This window comes from Homo sapiens, chromosome 4 (assembly GCF_000001405.40).
Source record: "Homo sapiens chromosome 4, GRCh38.p14 Primary Assembly".
NCBI classification, from domain to species: Eukaryota; Metazoa; Chordata; class Mammalia; order Primates; family Hominidae; genus Homo; species Homo sapiens.
The window spans coordinates 70,938,719-70,959,941 of record NC_000004.12 but is presented as its reverse complement, the minus strand read 5'-3'; the positions used below and the strand labels follow the sequence as shown (position 1 = coordinate 70,959,941).

General features: G+C 40.0%; 1 protein-coding gene across 6 annotated transcripts in view; it reads right to left on the bottom strand.

Moving 5' to 3' along the window:
* Positions 1-21,223, bottom strand: part of MOB1B (MOB kinase activator 1B) — an 86,318-nt gene that overhangs the window by 28,227 nt on the left and 36,868 nt on the right. For 4 of the 6 annotated variants that reach the window (XM_011532412.3, NM_173468.4, NM_001244767.2 and 1 more), the window contains exon 2: positions 902-1,068. In XM_011532412.3, coding sequence (XP_011530714.1) covers positions 902-1,068 — 167 coding nt within the window. Of the gene's footprint in view, positions 1-901; positions 1,069-9,130; positions 9,243-17,059; positions 17,120-21,223 lie in introns of all 6 variants that reach the window. The other 2 variants (XM_005265709.3, NM_001244766.2) reach the window with 2 other exon arrangements.

Below are 21,223 nucleotides of genomic sequence, written 5' to 3'. Positions count from 1 at the left end.
ACTGGTACTCCAGCCTGGGCGACAGAGCAAGAGTCGATCTCAAAATAAAAATAAAAATAAAAAAAGCACAATTAGACAAATAACTGAGTATGCCACTGAGAAAGGCAATTTAGTATAGTGGTTGACTCTATAGACTCTGAAATTCTATAGCTGTATATTTGATCCCAGGTTCTTCCATTTAATAGCTATATGACCTAGGCAAGTTACTAATTGTCTCAACTTAATCTATTAAACCGAAATAATAATCATACCTACATCATAAGGTTATAAAGATAAAATAAAATCATCCACGTAGAAAGGAGAGTGGTATGTCTATACAGTGTTTGACACATGAAAAATTATTATAATGAAGATAGTAAATCTATGCTTTGTATTAAAATAGGAAACAAGATTTCATAAAATTCCATATTCAGAAATAAAATAACAAGGACTGGATGTGGTGACTAGTGCCTGTAATCCTAGCACCGTGAAAGGCTGAGATAGAAGGATCACTTGAGGTCAGGAGTTCAAGACAATCCTGGACAACATAGTGAGAACTCCATCTCTACTAAAACATGTTTGTAAATGAGCCAGGCAGGGTGGTATGTGCCTACAGTCCCAGCTACGCTAGAGGCTGAGGGTGGGAGGACTGCTTGAGCCCAGGAGTTCAAGGCTGCAGTCAGCCATAACTGAGCCACTGTACTCCAGCCTTCCAGCCTGGGTGACTGAGTGAGACCCTGTCTCAAAAAGTAATAATAATAAAGTAAATAAAGTAACATGAAGGTTAAAGTTAGATTGAGATATCACTCTTTTATGATATTAGCTTACTAACTAAATCCTAGAATGGACAGCACCAACACTCACCAACAATGAGGCTATTACCCTAATTCACAGGCTACTGAGAAATAAAAAGGCTACTTACTGTTAACTGCAACCCATTCATTGAGATCTTCCCCTTCAGGAAGCATGACAGCCATCCGAAGGTTGCCACTGCCAAGTGTGGCTTCTGCGTGTTTTAAGAGCTCATACTGGTGAGAACCCTCTGGAATGTTCTTCTTTGGTTTAAAAGTTTTAGAAGAGCGACTACCACTATGAATAGAAAAGAAAAAAAAAGGGTTTAATATTTAAGGCATGACATTCAATAGAGTCATTCACCAAGCATTAGACCTAAACTGTATTGGCTTAAATCCCAGCAATAGAATTGCTGTAACTACTGTGCTCTCCATCCAAAACTCCTACAAACTTTCTCTGCTGTGTCTAGTTAACTCACAAAAAGAAAAATTTTTAAGCTGTAACTAACACCTCTTCTCAATAAATTAATGAAAAAACAAAAAAGTACTTCCATGATGTTTTAGTTATTGTATTCCTTTCACTCCTATTCTAAGTCTCTCATTCTAATAAAATAAATTTGTTTCCTTCTTAAAAGAAATATAGAGATACAATTTGATATCAATAAAACATAAAAATCCTGGAACAAGAAAAAAAAGCTACATGTTCAGCCAGGCACAGTGGCTCACACCTGTAATCCCAGCACTTTGAGGCAGAGGTAGGCGGATTACCCAAGGGTCAGGAGTTGGAGACCAGCCTGGTCAACATGGCGAAACCCCATCTCTACTAAAAATGCAAAAAAATTAGCCAGGCATGGTGGCGGGTCCTTGTAATCCCAGCCACTCAGGAGGCTGAGGCAGGAGAATCGCTTGAACTCGGGAGGCAGAGGTTGTGGTGACCCAAGATTGTGCCACTGCACTCTAGCCTGGGCGGCAGAGTGAGATTCCGTCTCAAAAAAAAAAAAAAGAAAGAAAAGAAAAGCTACATGTTTTTCTACCCAATTATAGGAAGTATCAGTAATCAATTTTAGTCCAGAATTCTGGTTAAGCAGTTAAGTAGCTAGACATTCGTGTGGCTGGTTTGCTCCAATTTCTGAATGCTTAAGCACACACAGAGACACAGACACAAACACACACAGCCTATGTGTATGTGTATATATACACATAAATATTTTTTAATGGATCAACTGAAACTAGGCTTCAAGGTGGTTTTAATAGTTTTTAAGAGAGCTGGGCACCTCTAGTTCCAGCTACTCAAGAGGCTGAGGTGGAAGGATCCCTTGAGGTTGTAGTGCACTATGATCACACCTGTGAATAGACACAGCACTCCCCCTTGGGCAACATAGCAAGACCCCCATCTCTTGAAAAAAAAAAAAAAAAAATAAGGCAGGGAGCTGAGTGTGGTGACTTACACTGGTAATCCCAGCTACTTGGGAGGCCAGAGGCAGGAGGATTGCATCAGGCCAGGAGTTCGAGACCAGCCTGGGCAATGCATGAGACTCCCTCCATCTCTAAAAAAATGTTTAAAAATTAAGCCAGGTGTGATGGTGCAGCCCGTAGTCCCAGCTAGGGACTAAGGAGGCTGAAGCCAAAGGATAGCTTAAGCCCAAAGAGTTCAAGACTGCAGTGAGCAATGATCATGCCACTCTACTCCAGCCTGGGCAACAGAATGAGGCCTGCCTCTTTAAAAAAAAAAAAAAAGAGAGAGAGAGCGAGCGATTTTTAAATCTTCTGTTAATACTAGCAAATTTTTATCAAATTAGGGGTCACCCCTGTCCATTATTCTCCTTCACTTCTCATGAAAAGGAACAGACTGGAAAAAAAGAGGCTGGAGAAGTGGGAACTTTTTTTTTTCTGTTTTTTTTTTTTTTTTTTTGAGACATAGTCTCGCTCTGTCACCCAGGCTGGAGTGCAGAGGCACGATCTCAGCTCGAGAAGTGGGAAAACTTTAATGTTATTAAATTCACATCATCAAAAACATCTAGGCATTTGAACATATGAATACGGAAGTGGAATTCCAAAAAAAAAAAAAAAACACATAAACAATGGTTACACTTTCCAAACTCTCCAAAGCTTTTCACTCTACCTCCTCTCAACTTTACACCCCCAACCCCAATCCCTCCCTCTTTCCCTAAGATAAACCAGTAGTTCTCAACCCCTGGCTGCATTACTATAATCATCTGAGGAGCTGTCAAAAAGTACTGAGGATCTTGAAATAAAGTAAGAATCTATCAGTCAACCTGAATATACAATTCAAGTAACAGGTATTTTTCATTCTAAAGTACTAGCATTCTCATTTAAATGTAGGTCTCTCCATAGGTGTTTAATTAGAATTAAACCGATGTTCCTCATAACACACACCCTCTCCTATCTCTACTCAACAGCAAAAGGATCACTTTAAAAACACTCATCACAGGGCTGAGCACAGTGGCCCACACCTATAATCCCAGCACTTTGGGAGGTCGAGGCGGGCAGATTGCTTGAGCCCAGGCCAATCTGGGCAACATGGTGAAACTGTCTCTACAAAAAATACAAAACTTAACCAAGTGTGGTGGTGCATGCTTGTAACCCCAGCTACTCAGGAGGCTGAGATGGGAAGATCACTTGAGCCCAGGAAGTCAAGGCTACAGTGAACCAAGATCACGCCACTGCTTTCCAGCCTGGGTGATAGAGCAAAACCCTGTCCAGAAAAATAAAAATAAAAAATTGACCCAGCACAGTGGCTCTTCCCTGTAATACCAGCACTTTGGGAGGCCGAGGTGGGAGGATCGCCTGAACCTAGGAGTTCAAGACAAATCTGGGCAACACAGTGGGGCTCCCTCTCTAAAAAATATATTTAAAATTTTTTTTCAACCAGAGAATCAGGAGCTAAAAGAAAAAAATTTAAAAATAAAAACACTCATTAGATTATGATACATCTCTGCTTAGAACAACTCAGCGACTTTCCAGTGCAAAAGTGTAAATCCAAAGGTCAAATATTAGATATAGTCAAGCTCTAGGCCCACACTAGAGTGCAGAAATTCTTCAGTTTAATGAGACAATGTAATAAACACCAAATTTGCTCCCAGCATCTCTAAAATATAATTATAAAAATATAAATGTTAGGTATGGCAGTACACGCCTGTAGTCCCAACTACTGGGAAAGCTGAGGCAGAAGCATTGCTAGAGGGCAGCAGTTTGAGACTAGCCTAGGCAACACAGTGAGGCTCTGCCTCCAAAAAATAAAAATAAAATGAAATTTAAAAATTTATTTATATAAATATAAATGGTAATAATATAAATAGACATATGCCTACCAAGCTTGAAACTTACTTCATTTTCCTCTTTCTAACCCTTTATCAAAATTTTGCATAAGACACATACTTCACTGGGCGCAGTGGCTCCCACCTGTAATCCCAGAACTTTGGGAGGCTGAGGCAGGTGGATCACCTGAGGTTGGGAGTTCAAGAACAGTCTGGCCAACATGGTGAAACCCTGTCTCTACTAAAAATACAAAAATTAGCTGGGCATGGTGGTGCGCACCTATAATCCCAGCTACTCTGGAGGCTGAGGCAGGAGAATCGCTTGAACCCAGGAGGCGGGGGTTGCAGTGAGCCGAGATCACGCCATTGCACTCCAGCCTGGATGACAAAGCAAGACATCGTCTCCCAAAAAAAAAAAAAAAAAAAAAAGGACACATACTTCACAAACATATTTTACAAAAAAGACATTTTACTAATTTATGTGTGATTAATTAGGAAAAGAGGTCTCCTATAACTAATGTGGTGCAAATCTTCAGACAAAGTGTTAAGTATATTTCCTTTAATTAGCACACGGCTGAGATGGCTGCAGCAACTGAAGATGTGACAAGCAGCTCTGAAAATGGCTGGCAAGAGTACATGAGAACTACAAGGACCTCAGCTGTGTCTGCACTCAGGTAAGTCCGAGCCTCACCTCCCCCAGAGTCATCTACTAATCAAACCACTCTGCCCCGACGTTTTAGGCTTCCAATGTTTTCTTGATCAATTCTCCTCCCAGAACTTTATACTTTGGTAGAAAAAATAAAATCTAGGCCGGGCACAGTGGCTCATGCCTGTAGTCCCAGCACTTTGGGAGGCCGAGGCGGGCAGACCACTTGAGGTCAGGAGTTTGAGACCAGCCTGGCCAACATGGTGAAACCCCGTCTCTACTAAAAATACAAAAATTAGCTGGGTGTCATGGCGTGCACCTGTAATCCCAGCTACTTGGGAGGCTGAGGCAGGAGAATTGCTTGAACCTGGGAGGCGGAGGTTGCAGCCTCCCAAGTAGCTGGGATTATAGACATATGCCACCATGCCCAGATCGCACCACTGCACTCCAGCCTGGGTGACAGAGCGAGACTCCGTCTCCAAAAAAAGAAAATCGGCCAGGCACAGTGGCTCATGCCGGTAATCCCAGCACTTTGGGAGGTTGAGGTGGGCAGATCATGAGGTCAGGAGATGGAGACCAGCCTGCCCAACATGGTGAAACCCTATCTGTACTAAAAACGTAATAATTAGCTGGGCATGGTGGCGCAGGCCTGTAATCCCAGCTACTCAGGAAGCTGAGGCAGGAGAATTGCTTGAACCCAGGAGGCGGAGGTTGCAGTTAGCCGAGATTGCGCCACTGCACTCCAGCCTGGGTGACACAGCAAGACTCCGTCTCAAAAGAAAAAGAAAAAGAAAAGAAAAGAAAAAATAAAATCTGAATTCAATTTTGTGAAGGCCAACTTTGACACACATCAGCTACTATCTCAGGCAAATTACTTAGCTTTCCAGAGCCTATTTTTTCTTTAGCAGTGAAAGCCTAATAAAAATAGCAAAACATGAACACTACCTGTATCACAGGACAGTGGCAAAATGAGAGGATATATGCAACATTTAGTATTTTCATTATCCTTTCTTTTCTTGAACCACAATGACTCATAGAAAGAAATGGTAGTGCAATGCTAAAACCCCAAATCCTATTCTATCCCTCAAGACTGAATGGGGGAAAAGATAATTAGTTCAGAAAGAAATAACTGTCACACATCAAGTTTAAAAGAAAATTTTTTTAATTTCTGGGTTTCTTTTTTTGGGGGGGTGCTACGCTGAAAGGTTCAGGCCATCTTGGAATAATCTTAGGGTTAGACTGGAAATCAGGAAAACAAGGTTCTACTCCCCATTTTGCAACTTTCTTCTTTTATTTTCTTTTTTAAGACAGAGTCTTGCTCTGTCACCCAGGCTGGAGTGCAGTGGCATAATCTTGGCTCATTGAAACCTCCGCCTCCCAAGTTCAAGTGATTCTCCTGCCTCAGCCTCCCAAGTAGCTGGGATTATAGACATGTGCCACTATGCCCAGATAATTTTTGTATCTTCAGTAGAGACAGGGTTTCACCATGTTGTTCAGGCTAGTCTCGAACTCCTGAACTCAAGTGATCCGCCCGCTTTAGCCTCCCAAAGTGCTGGGAATGACAGGCATGAGCCATCATGCCCAGCCTGCAATTTTCTTCTTATGCTACTTAAGAAACCACAAATTATCATCTAGGCTTCCAATTTTTTTATTTTGTTTTTTGAGAGTCCGGAAAATGACTTTTTACAAAAGTGTATCATTTAGAGATTAGATGTTTGTAAATGTTTTTAGTTCCCTGCAGCCTCTTGACTCTCTTCTCCGTTCCTCATTTCCACATACATTTCTGCTTTCAAGTCCTGCATCTAATTTTCCTTCTATCTAACCCGTCTGCTTTATTCCTGCAGAATACTCTAACCACGTAATACTTTTAAAAAATACTCTTTTTAAAATCTTTGTTAGGTTTTCTCCTTCAGCTGCTACCTGAATCTTCTCCTACCAGAATCCACCCAACCGGGGAATGGTGGTGGTCAATAATGCTCCTCATTCGCAGGTCAAAAGACCAACTGACAGGCCAGGCAAGGTGGCTCATGCCTGTAATCCCAGCACTTTGGGAGGATGAGGCGGGCAGATCACTTAAGGTCAGGAGTTCAAGAACAGCCTGGCCAACATGGTGAAACCCTATCTCTGCTAAAAACACAAAAATTAGCCGGACATGGTGGCAGACGCCTGTAATCCCAGCTACTCGGCTGAGGCAGGAGAATCGCTTGATCCCAGGAGGCGGAGGTTGCAGTGAGCCAAAATTGCACCACTTCACTCCAGGCTGGGCGACAGGGCGAGACTCCAACTCAAAAAAAAAAAAAAAAAAAAAAAAAGACCAAATGACAAAATGACAGAGTCTTCAAATTCAAAAGCATAAATACCCAAGCATGTACACAGAAGTCCTCATCAGTGAGTACAAGCTCTTGTAGCAACACTGTATGCCCAAATGCATACATCTCACATATTTTAAGACATACAAATACAAATCTTCACAAAAATTTTCAAAAACATAAAGTATGCTGCCCTCTTACCCCACCTACCTCAGAAGAAATTACAGTTTCTAGTATCTGGTATAAGCATTAGAAAGTTTTTTTTTTGTTTTTGTTTTGTTTTTTTTTTTTTTTTTGAGACGGCGTCTCGCTCTGTCGCCCAGGCTGGAGCGCAGTGGCACAATCTTGGCTCACTGCAAGCTCCGCCTCCTGGGTTCACACCATTCTCCTGCCTCAGCCTCCCAAGTAGCTGGGTCTACAGGCACCCGCCACCACGGTCACCTAATTTTTTGTATTTTTGGTAGAGACGGGGTTTCACCATTTTAGCCAGGATGGTCTCGATCTCCTGACCTCGTGATCCGCCCACCTCGGCCTCCCAAAGTGCTGGGATTACAGGCATTAGAAAGTTTTGTGCCTGTTTTTATTTGCTTTTACACAGTAGCATAGTGTACTTAATAATGTTTTTCACTTAACATATCCAGAAGACTGTTATATTTAAGATACAAGTAAATCTACTTTATTCTTTCTAAAGACTGAAATAGTATTTCCTTATATATATTATATTATAATATAGTTTGATCAGTCCTTTATTTAAAACATTTAGATTGTTTCCTCCAGTCATCTGCTACCACAAACAACACTGCAGTAAGCATCCTTGTGTGTACGCATGTATGAAGGTTAAATTCCTAGAACTGTTGTTTTAAAGAGCAGTTACATTTTTAAATTTTATATAGTGCCTATTTTTTCCCCAAATAAATTGTACCCTTTTACAATCCCATTAACAACATATGGGAGCAGCCACAACGTACGAAAGTCTTAAAGGACAGGTATTAGATTGCTAATTTCTCTTGTACAGCTTCCAACACAGCATCATAACTATGGAGAATGTTGTGCTTTGTTTTTTTGTTTGTTTGAGACAAGGTCTTGCTCTATTGCCCAGGCAGGAATGCAGGGGCATGATCAATGGCTCAAGTGATCCTCCCACCTCAGCCTCCTGAGTAGCTGTGACTACGCCACCACACCCAGCTAATTTTTTGTATTTTTATTAGAGATGAGGTCTCACTTTGTTGTCCAAGCTGGTCTCGAACTGCTAGGCTCAAGCAATCCCCTCATCTTGGCCTCCCAAAGTGCTGGGAATACAGGCTTGAGCCACCATGCTCAGCCACTATGGAATGCTGACTAGAATGTGAATGATGTATTACATATTAGAGGTATCACATTAATAATTCATTGCATTACTCTACTGCTTTCCAAATAAACATCCACGATATTCACATTTGTTTTCCCATTCTTACTCATATTTGAAGGCAAATCAATTTTTAGAGCAGGACAGGGTGATTTGTCTAGTAAACAACTCAGTCCTAGAGATAGCTCTGAATACATATCTCTTAGTCTTCCAATTTGATTTATCTTTTGCAAATTTCAGTATCATTTATTTTCTCTTTGAGACTCTAAAACAGTGGCTCCCAACCTTTTTGGCACTAGGGACCAGTTTCACGGAAGACAACTTTTCCACAGGGGTTGGCGGGGTGCAGAGCTCAGGTGGAAATGCTTGCTTGCTGGCTGCTCACCTCCTGCTGTGAGGCCCAGTTCCTAACAGTTTTTGTTTTTGTTGTATTACCCCTATTTTTTTTCTGTACCAGATACCTATATATTGACACTGAAGAATATGTAAATTTATTCAAAATTAAAAGCAAATTATTTGTCACACAAATGATTGTAAAATAAATGATTTGTGTTACAAATCATGTATTTGTGCCAACAGCTCCATCTCTTCAAGGTTAAGTGAGTTATTAGTCTAACCACAGCTAGCTAAATGACAGAACCAGGGTCTCGAAGAAGTTACTGTTACTGAGTCTCAGCTTCCTCGTCTACAAAATGGAGATAATAATACCTACCTTACTACTGAAACTTATGTTAAGAACTTCACTACTATTAGTTCTCTCTGCTCCGCCTCTAGGTACTAACCTTTCATTCACATCAGTAGCTCCTTCCATAGGTCTAAGTCCAACACTACAGATCAGGTATTCGATAAATACTTGTTAACTGAAAGTTCCAGTCAACTTCAGGCTGAGAACTCCTACATCAGGATAATAATGATGATTAATATTAACTAACATTTACCGCAAGCTTTGTACTCGCAACTATTTTACATGCAATATATCTCATTTAATCCTAGTAACTCTGATATACAAGCTATTATTTTTCTTTATTTTATGGATGACAAATCTAAGGATTTAAAGTACTTACATACTCTGCTCAAGATTATAAAAGTGGTAAATTAAGGAGCCAAAATTTAAATCCAGGATTTAAATCTCTAAAGACCATTCTTTTTTTTTTTTTTTTTTTTTTGATACAGAGACTTGCTCTGTCACCCAGGCTAGAGGGCTGTGACCCGATCTTGGCTCATCCGCCTCCTGGGTTCAAGCGATTCTCCTGCCTCAGCCTCCTGAGTAGCTGGGACTACAGGCACCCACCACCACGCCCAGCTAATTTTTGTATTTTTAGTAGAGACGGGGTTTCACCATGTTGGCCAGGCTGGTCTCGAACTCCTGACCTCAGGAGATCTGCCCATCTCAGCCTCCCAAAGTGCTGGGATTACAGGCGTGAGCCACAGCACTCGGCCTAAAGCCCATACTTTTACCCACTACCCAACATTACTCAATGCTTTACCTTTAGCTTCTACCCAATTATTTCTAATAATTTTCTCCCTTTTTCACCACATTTTAATCAAGTCATTCACGAACAACACAAGGCTAATTTATACCAAGAGAGTTATTAATAGGCACCTTTTTTTTCTTATTTTTAAAACATTCTTTTTTCCTTACCCTTGTCTCCACCCCTTTGTAATTTTATTTATGTATTTTTTTGAAGACAGGGTTCACTCTGTCCCCTAGGCTGGAGTGCAGTGACACAAACACAGCTCACTGCAGCCTCAACTTCCTGAGCTCAAACGATCTTTCTACCTTAGCCTTCCACCTCGGCCTCCCAAGTAGTTGGGACCACAGGTTCACGCCACCATGTCCAGCTAATTATTTTGTTGTTGTATTTTTTTATAGAGAGGAAGTCTCACTTTGTTGCCCTGGCTAGTCTCAAACTCCTGGGCTCAAGTGATCCCCCCATCCCCACCACCCAAAGTGCTGGGAATAGATACATCTTAATCTTCAAACCACCTAATTCCCCTCCTATACCATCTCTAATTTATATGAATACTTAGCACATACTCTGCCAGTAAGAAAAAGTAAAATTCCACCCTACACCAATTTCCCCCAAATGTTGCCATTTGGCTTTCATCCACGCTTTCAGAAAGGCAGACATGCATCTGCAAAAAATGTTAGAAGCTGTCAAAATAGAATGTGTTCTAGAAATAATAAGACTAAAAGCTAAAGGCTAAAAGCTATGAGTATTGAAAAGATAACCTTGTTTCAAGACAGACAGCAGTCTGAACAGACATATCTACTTACATTTCTGCCTATAATCCCTTTTAAATCACTATTATTAGTGGCAGGTGGTATTGCTACTATTGTTACCATTAAGTGAGTAAGAAATCCTTAACTCGGCTGGAAAAAAAGAAAGAACACTATCTGCTATCCGCAGTTCAGAAATCGAGGAATTCTTATAAGATTAAAAAGTTAATGAGACATAGTGACTGAGAAGTCTGAGAAAACCTAGCATAGATATGCCCAGTAGAGGTCTCTATGAAGGTAAGAGTGATTCTGCTGTGCTCCAAACTCAGAATCTAGACTACGGGAGAGGACCCTGAGGGGATCTCCAGAAGATTATAGGCGAACTTGACCCAGGATCTTTGCACAAGTGAATCCCAATACCCTTCTGAGTGGCCTTTTTCTGAGAAGTAGGCAAGCACAGCCTAAGCTGAAGCTCAGAGCATGGTGGAGGGAGGGATTTTAACCACCACCCCAGCAGGCAGGGGAACTTGGCAGTCAAAAGAGAACTTACTGGCATACCTCTATACATTAGGCAGCAGTTCCTACTCCTTCCTGTCACCAGAGGTATGCTCCCATAATCAGTATATTCACCAAGAAGCAAACCAATATCCTCAAACACTCAAGTTGAGCAGACAATCCCAAATCACTAAATATTCCAGGAAAACCAACACCATGAAAGAACTACTCAACAATATATCTAATGCTAACAAAAACCAAGAAGAACATACTAAATATAATCAGTATCTTTAGAAATAACAGAGACACTATTATATTCAAAAAACAGGCAATTATGAAAAGAAACAATTAGGGAAGGATGGAGAAGCTGAAGTTCTCCTTAAGCAAGTGGTGTCAAGTCGAGAGATATTAACCACAGTGAGGGGAACTGAAAAATTAAAGAATTCTGGTAAGATTAAAAAGTTGACTTTTTAATATAATTGACTGTGGAGATGGTTACTAAAAAACTGTATTAAACAGTGCACTCTAAACGGGCGATTTGTAAGGTATGTGACTACGTCTCAATTAAGCATTTTTTAAGGCACAAAGAAAAATATAATTGTCATTATAAAAGTGAACAGTGGACCATACAAATAGAGTCAACTGATACTGACAAAAGAGGAAAGGCAATTCAATGGGGAAAGGATGATCTTTTCAACAAGTGGTAGTTCTCTACTACTTGGGACACTGGGACATCCAGAGGCAAAAACATAAATCTAGACACAGATCTTGCACCTTTCACAAAACTTAACATGAATTAGATGATAGACCTAAAACTACAACACAATACTATAAAACTTCTAGAAGAAAACATAGAAGAAAATCTATGTGACCTTGAATTTGGTGATGAGTTTCTAGATATAAAAAAGCATCTTATGAAAGAAAATACTGATAAATTAGACTTCATTAAAGTTTAAAATTCTTCTCTGTGGCTGGGTACAGTGGTGCACGGCAGTAATCCCAGCATTCTGGGAGGCCAAGGTAGGCAGATCACTTCATCTCAGAAGTTCAAGACCAGCCTGGGCAATATGTTGAAACCCTATCTCTACAAAAAATTATCTGGGTGTGGTGGCACACACCTGCTGCCCCAGCTACTCAGGAGGCTGAGGCAGGAGCCTAGGGGTGTTGAGGCTGCAGTGAGCCAAGATTGTGCCACTGCACTCCAGCCTGGGCAACAGAGTGAGACCCTGCTTCAAAATAAATAAATAAATAAAATTCTGCTCTATGAAAGACACTGTAAAGAAGGTCAAATATCAAGCCACCGACTAGCAGCAAATCTTTGCCGATCACATACATAGTTAAGGACTTATATCCAAAATATACAAAGAGCTGTTAAAATTCAACAATAAGAGCCTGAGCAACATAGTAAGACTCCATCTCTGGCGGGGGGGAAAAAAACCTAGCCAACTAGCCAGGGATGTGATGTCTGTAGTCCTAGCTACTCAGGAGGCTGAGGTGGGAGAATCACCTGAGCCCAGGAGTTCAAGGCTGTAGTAGGCTGTGATCATGCAACTGCACTCCAACCTGAGTGACAGAGTGAGACCCTGATTCTAAAAAGAAAAACAAAAATCAACAATAAGAAGACCCAGTGTCTTGATCCTGCCTTTTCAGAGTCTACGACTCACTTGTCAGGGACTCCTGCAAAACTGGTGATATCATCCCCAATTTTTTAGTTTTAAGCTTAGGGAAATTGTGTAATTTGTCTGATATTTCACGGCCAGTTTCAGATCCTGTCTTTCTAACTTACTGGCTAAGAACTTCCCTAAGTTTAAAATGAAAAAACTGCAAACGACATCACCAGTTTTGAAGGACTGTTATGATAGATGAGTAAATTACATTTGAAGCACCCTAGTTTTGAGGCAGCAATCACAGAGCAAACGCTCAATATAATGTGAAAGAAAAATATAATCTTGGAACCCCAAACTCACTAGGCTTAAGAGAAAGTTGGCTGGCTAATCAGAGCCTCACAAGAATGTAACCACTTGCCTCACTGCCTACCCTCCCTCCTTTTTTTTCCTTCCCCTTCTGTTTCATCTTTCCCCTTTAAATATTGAAGTTCCCAAAACCCTCTTTGGAAAAAGCACAGGTCACAGATCCTACTGTGACTTGTGTTTCTTTTTCCCAAGCATATCCTCAACCTTGGCAAAATAAACCACTAATTGATTGAGATCTGCCTCAGTCAGTTTTTGGTTTACAATAGGAACTAGCATTTTTCAAATGTTCAATAACAAATGACTATATATATGCATATTTACATGCACTTACATGCGTATAAATAAAATACCCTTTCTGACTTTATCCCCTTGCCATACTAACCCATGAAGGGTCAGCTTAAAATATGACCTCCTCCTGCTTATTTGTTTATATTTCTTTTTCCCTCTCCCTCTCTTTCACTAGATCGTGGGTTACGAGGGATATGAGTCTTCTCTTAGATACCTTTGCATTCCCAATACCTAACACAGAAGCTGAAACATAACGGAATGCGTAATAAATGTTTATTATCTCAAATAATGATGTTGAAGAAAAATCTTATTCTTATTGCGAGGAGCCATTGTTACCAATATTAAAGAAAAGGATCAATCTGTCATCTTTATTTGATTCACTATGACAAATCTAAAGGATTCCAACTGTGCAAGAGAAGTAACATTGAGGAATATTTCCTAGTCCTAACACCAAAATTTCATTTTCAATATTAGGCCCCTTTATAGTCCTGCCCTACTTAAACTTTGGCCAAAAAAAAAAAAAAAAAAAAAAGAACAAACAAAAACCAGCTTAGCCAAAGCATTTGCCTGCAAAAGACATTCAATGCAATCAGTGACACAGAAGTTGTGTAGTCTTAATGCTTTGAAATTAAACTCTTATAATACAGAAGCCAGCCCGATAGGAAAAAAAAAAAGCACCACAAAAAGTTAAAATCAGGTAGCGCCTACTTCTCCTTATCTCATACAATTTTAACTGCACTTTCTTTATTCACCAAATAATGTCTAGTCATCCCTAGATAATCAGTGCAGGGGTAATTTTCCTCAGGAAGCTTCCCTGATATCCTAAGACGGGTTAAGGATGCCTTCTCTGTGTTCAGACAGGATACTATCATTGTTTATTTTACACAGCACCATGAGTTTCTCAAAAATAAGAAATGTTTCTAAGGCATCACTGCATCTCCAGAACCTATCACAAGGCCTAGGTCAGAATAGAGCTTCAGTATTTGTTGAGCTAACTGACAAAGAATTCCAAGACAAAAATTTGAAAGTACAGCAAATACTTTAGACATTTGTCAAAATTTATATCTTCAGCTTATACAAATAGGCCTAATCATGATAGGTTCAAGTAGCATAGTACAGAGTATGCATGCAGAATAATATGCATCTTGTATTTTAACTAACATTTCAGTAGCACAACTGAACAAACAAAATCCAAGCACAAAATTACAGTACGAGGCTATAGAATTTACCATGACAGTTTAAAATTCAGGGCCTTGGAAAGGGCCCTAACAAAAATCACGAAAGCAATCCAACTACAATTGGTTAAAGACTTCTGTTCTGACTTCTAACTTCTGTTTCTGACTCCCTCTCCATCATACTTCCTCCTTCGGTAATCTGATATTCTGGGCACTGAACTAAGGGGAAGCTGAGTTGGGTATTTATATATACTTAGGTTTCATAGGATATATGTAGTGTGCAATCACATCTATGTATGACTAGATAATTGCTAGTCTGGGTACAAGAATGACATCCAGGAATATTCCTACCACCCAATGCACTGCCTTATCTGGTATCATTAACACTAAGGCAGAGGACCAGGGACATCTAGATATGAGCTCCATATGGTATTGGCACAGAAGTATGTAAAAACACTGCAATTCATATAAAACCAAGGGTGAGACAGTTTGGATATTTGTCCCCACCCAAATCTCATGTTGAATTGTAATCCCCAATGCTGGTAGGTGTTTGGATCATGGGGGTGGGTCCTTCATGGCTTGGTGATGTCTATGTGATAGTGAATGAGTTCTCGAGATCTGGTCATTTAAAAGTCTGTGGCATCTCATCCCCTACTCTCCCCCTTTCTCTCTCTCCTCTCTACTTCCTCTGTCTCATACTGTCTTGCTCCTACTTTTGCCATGTGACGTACCTGCTCTCCCTTTTGCCTTCTGCCATGATTGTAAGCTTCCTGAGGCCTCCCCAGAAGCTGATGCCACGATGCTTCCTGTACAGCCTGCAGAACCTGAGCCAATTAAACCTCTTTTCTTATAAATTACCCAGTCTCAGGTATTTCCTTATAGCAATGCAAGAACAGCCTAACAGAAGGAGCTGCCCCAAATTTGACAACAATCTTAAAATATTACAGACACTACCAATAAAACGAGTTGTCAATCTCAAACTTTTCTAAACTATCAATAATAAACACAATTTGATCAGTCATGGTAGAGAAAAAAGTACACTGTTGACATATGAAGAAGTGGTCAAAAAGTATACAGTCAAAAAAATCTAAATAAAAAAGTATTAGAGGCCGGGTGCAGCGGCTCACGCCTATAAACCCAGCACTTTGGGAGGCCAAGGCGCGAGGATCACCTGAGGTCAGGAGTTTGAGACCAGCCTGGCCAGCATGGTGAAACCCAGTCTTCACTAAAAATACAAAAATTAGCCGGGCATGGTGGCATGTGCCTATAATCCTAGCTACTCAGGAGGCTAGGGCAGGAGAATCACTTGAACCTGAAAGGTGGAGGTTGAAATGAGCCAAGATTGCAACTAGGTGACAGAGCAAGACTCCGTCTCAAAAAAAAAAAGTATTACAGATATCTAGCAGTTGCCATAAAAATGTTATTTTTCTATAGTTTGTGATGTTAACTAACCTTGTGTTATTAAAATTGTGATCTGTGTTTTTTCATTCTAAATATTCATTTTGACATCAAATTTTGTATTTATATATTTTTTCATTTTCTCAAAAAGGGAAATGTTTTGTTTTTTTTTATTTTGATTGAAAAAGATTTTCTCCAAAAATCTAGATCTCTACCCACTTGAAGGCTTATTAATGCTACTTACAGAAGGAAAATCAGAAGTTATAGCTTGATATAACTGATTCTCTAATTTACCAATATATAAACCCATTTAGGTACACGTATAGTCTTCTACTACTATATTTACCAAGCTATGAGAAGTGTGCGTTAACTCCTGTCTCTTCTATTACCATGGACAATTTAGAAGCAGGTCCCATATGTCTTATTCACTTGGGTATTTTTTCAGAAGCTACCTTCTAATGCAGTAAATGATCAATGATTGTTGATTTTTTTTAAAAAGTTACTATACCTTGAACTACTGTCTTTAGAAAAGTTTATCAAAGCTCTTTCACTATTTTATGTCAGATGATTATTCATCATTGTGGGGTAAGTGGAAAACATGATTAACTATAAGAAATGATGTGAGCTAATCTTGCTAAAGATCCAGGTGTTGAGATACTGGATGTCATCCCAGTTCTTTGCTCACCTCAAAGATCATCACAGTTATAACAGCTGTGCTGTTCAATGGGCAAAACTAGCACCAAGTGCAAAAAGCAGAACTAGTAAACTACTTGTTCCTCTTCCATAAAAGCTGAACCACCCCATTTAGCTAATGGAATCTCTAGAACTATGTGAAATGAGAATGTATGCTTATACAATATTATGTCAAAAAAACCATCAGAAATGACCCTATGGTTTTATTTTTAAAAGGTAAAGTACTTTCTAGGGTGACAGAAATGTTTCAGGTTTTAAAAGCAGTGTGGTTTACAAAAAGCATACACTCTTTTAACTATACACTTAAGTTCTGAGCACTTCATGTTTTGTAAATCATATCTCGATAAAATAAAAATAACTTAGCAATGAACTCCCCGAACCCACTGAGATATATTTCTGAGCTACATTAAAGGGAAATACTGCCACAATGCTCTTAAACATTCATATAATAATTTTTTCTTTGCTTACTTCTTTGCCTCCAGTTCTTTATTTTGAGTCTTTCATAATCCGACAATATGAACCTTCTCTCTACAGACAAAAAACACAATATTTTGCATACAGGAATTCAGGGAGGGGCTAAAACCTGTTCATAAACCCAGATACAGAAATCCTGCCCTAGTCTGTATCTTTTCCCTGAGGTTATCATAAAAACATCAGTTTCTCTTTAAATGTCTATGAGCTTCACATTTAATTTCTAATCCTATAGACATATCTTTTAGATAAAACACACATACATTCAGGATAGGTACAAGTTTTATTTCAATTAAAAACTACAGTTTAGGTTTATTCTTTTTCTATTAAACAGTGACTAGCAGAAAGCTTTAATCATATTTATAAAATAATTTATGTTAAAGTTCAAAACCATGGCATTTATGAGAAATTCAATGCATTAAATTCATTCTTAAAAAAATAAAGAAATCCATGCTAATGCCTATAAAAACTGATAAAGTGTACTAGGAAATAACTTTACTTATTAAATGGCAATTCCACTTTAATAGACCACTAGAATATTAAATATTAAATATTAAATATTTAATAGACCACTAGAATATTAAATGGCAATTCCACTTTAATAGACCACTTTAATATTACCACTAGAAGATATTGGTAATATGTACACAAAAGTTATAAACTATTTTCTCCTATAAATCTAACTTCAAATGCAGCTGATTTGAGTGTTTGCTTCTTAGGATTTTTCGTTTTTAATAAAATAAGAATCATTCCTGGTTTGGAGGTCAATTTTAACCAATGTGTAATTAAGGTCAAAGACATTGAGGATTTAAATGAGAGTTGCCAAAGCATACTTCTGATGCATAATCTGAATAATCTGAAATATTAGCTAAGATTGATAATAATATTAAATTATAAAACTTACTAAAGCCTTTCACAACTATTAAAACATTCTAATCAAGAGGTTTAAGAAATTTAGAAACAAAATTCTTATACAGGGTTACCATCAAATCATCTGTTCTTCTGACAGATATTGAAGTATCTCGGTCCAGTTTTACCATAATGATAAAATTAAAAATACCAAGCATGTGATCTCAGTAATTAGCTTTACTTTAAAAGATTAAATTAGCATTTGAATGTTCGAATGTTAATTTTCTCTGAAAAGAAAGATACCAAAGTTTCTCTGAAAAGAAAGATACCAAAGAGAAATGTCACAAGGAAGGATGGAACAGAGTAAGGGAAAGAAGGAAGAAATTTCTTGACTGGGCACGGTAGCTCACACCTGTAATCCCAGCACTTTGGGAGGCCGAGACGGGCGGATCACAAGGTCAGGAGATCGAGACCATCCTGGCCAACACAGTGAAACCCCGTCTCTACCAAAAATACAAAAAATTAGGCGGGCGTGGTAACGGGCACCTATAGTCCCAGCTACTTGGGAGGCTGAGGCAGGAGAATGGCGTGAACCCAGGAGGCGGAGCTTTCAGTGAGCCGAGATCACCACATTGCACTCCAGCCTGGGCAACAGAGCGAGACTCCGTCTCAAAAAAATAAATAAATAAAATAAAACAAATTTCTTAAGTTGCAGCAGATAAAAGTGACAAAGAAGTAAGCAGAAATTAGAGTATAGTACTGAGAACATATTTCATGTCTAAAGGGGCACCTGGAAATTCAAATCAACCTGTTAAGAAACAGCCACTACTACTGTGTGTGTATGGCATAGAAAAGAAAAAAAAAAAAAAAGAGCCAAAGTAGCCAAGAGAGATATGATAGCCAGATACAAATAAAGAGAAAATCAGACAATGTACATGTGGCAAGAGTTGTCTACTTCTGCAGTCATAGTAAGACAAAATACTACAGTTAAATTTGGTTAATCAAATCCTAAATTCAAAGCTGAGATACATTAAAAGACCAATTAATATTTAATGCCGGGCCGGGCGTGGTGGCTCACGCCTGTAATCCCAGCACTTTGAGAGGCCGAGGCGGGCGGATCACCTGAGGTCAGGAGTTCGATACCAGCCTCAACATGGAGAAACCCTGTCTCTACTAAAAATACAAAATTAGCCGGGCGTGGTGGTGCATGCCTGTAATCCCAGCTACTCGGGAGGCTGAGGCAGGAGAATTGCTTGAACCTGGGAGGTGGAGGTTGCTGTGAGCTGAGATTGCGCCATTGCACTCCAGTCTGGGCAACCAGAGCGAAACTCTGTCTCAAAAAAAAAAAAAAAAATTAATGCCCTAATATTATTTTTATTATTAACCTGAAAACAAAAACGAAAGGAAAATTGTTCATCCATTCGGAATCAGATTTTAGAGACATTTAACTGATAACAATGTTGATACATGGACAGAGATTCATCTTTAATCCTCTAGGATACCTAATACGGGCAAGTCACCACCATGTTAAGCACTGTGGGAAGCTAGGAAAACACATAACAGATATTCCTTGCAGTTCAAATTTGGTGGTTTGTGTTGTTTTCTGACATGGGGTCTCGCTCTGCTCTCACCCAGGCTAGAGTGCAGTGGTGCGATCTTAGCTCACTGCAACCTCCACCTCCTAGTGGTATAGAAGGGAGGCAGAAAAGTGCTGGGTAGACAGAGGAAGGTGGGTCTCTGGAGAGGGCTGGGCCTGTGCCCATGGACCTAGGTGAGGACAGGCACTCCTGCCTTTATGCCCAAATGCTGCATTTCTCAAGACCACCCTGGCCCACCATGGCCCCATCCTGTGCCTATAAAAACCCCCGAGACCCTAACAGGAGAGACACAAGCGGCTGGACGTGGAGAGGAACACATCAGCGGAAGAAGACAAAAGCGGCTGGAGGTCAAGAGGACATCGAGTGGAGCACACCGGCAGGACAGCAAACCAACAGATGCTGGCACTGGGCAGGCCATAAACCAACGGAAAGATGCAGAGACGGGCTAGGGCAGTCGGAGGAGACACTGGGCCACACAGTGGCCAGACTCCAGGGGAAAATCATCTCCCCCTGGCTCCTCCATCTTCTGAGAGCTACTTCCGCTCAATAAAACCTTGCATTCTTTCTCCAAGTCCACCTGTGATCCAATTCTTCTGTACACCAAGGCAAGAACTCCGGGATACAAAAAACTCTCTGTCCTTGTTAGGCAAGAGGTCTCAATGAGCTGATGGGTAAACTAAAAGAGCACCGGGTAACACACGCCCACTGGGGCTTCAGCACTGCACACTCCCTGTAGAGGTTTGAGCAGCAGGACACCAAAGAAGCGAGCCACACCCCCGACCGCACACCCTTTAAGGGGGACAAGGGAACCTTTCCCGTTTCACCACATTCAAGAGATCCTCCCAGCCTCAGCCTCTTGAGTAGCTGGGATTGCAGGTGTGCGCCACCATGCCTGGATAATTTTGTATTTTTAGTAGAGATGGGGTTTTGCCACGTTGGCCAGGCTGGTCTTGAACTCCTGACCTCAGGTGATCCGCCCACCTTGGCCTGTGATTACGGGTGTGAGATTACAGGTGTGAACTACTGCACCCAGACTAGGATTGGGTTTTCTTAGGGACATTAAATCAGTTATTCATCTACTTTATAATTTCCAAAATTTAGTTGTTTTCTCTTTCATTCTTTTTATTTCTATGAGATTATGATTTAAAAAACTTCACTTTATTGTGACTTTGAGTAGGAAGTGGAGGCTAGTGTATGTTTTCAGCCCAACATCTTCAATAGTTTTCTTGTAAGTACTAAACCATTTTATTGTTCTGTTAAGCATTTGCAATTGTGTTGTGTCTAAGTGAAAGGAAATTGTGTTATTGTGTTGAATCACTGCAGTGTATTAGTAGATATTCTTAAAATCTTTTTTCAACAAATTTGATATTTCCTTTTTCCAACTTTGACTGTTCAGCAGCTCTCATTTTTGCAAGAAAACAGATGAATCCAAATTTGAACTGCAAGGGGCCAGGCTCAGTGGCTCATGCCTATTATCCCAGCACTTTGGGAGGTCGAGGTGCTGGCAGGTGCCTGTAATCCCAGCTACCTGGGAGGCTAAGGCAGGAGGATCGCTTGCACCCGGGAGGTAGAGGCTGTGGTGAGCCAAGACTATGCCATTGCACTCCAGCCTGGGCAACAAGAGCAAAACTCCATCTCCAAAAAAAAAAAAAAAACCCAATCCTAAAATTAAAACCAATCCAATTTACATCATAGATCCCACAAAAGATTTAGG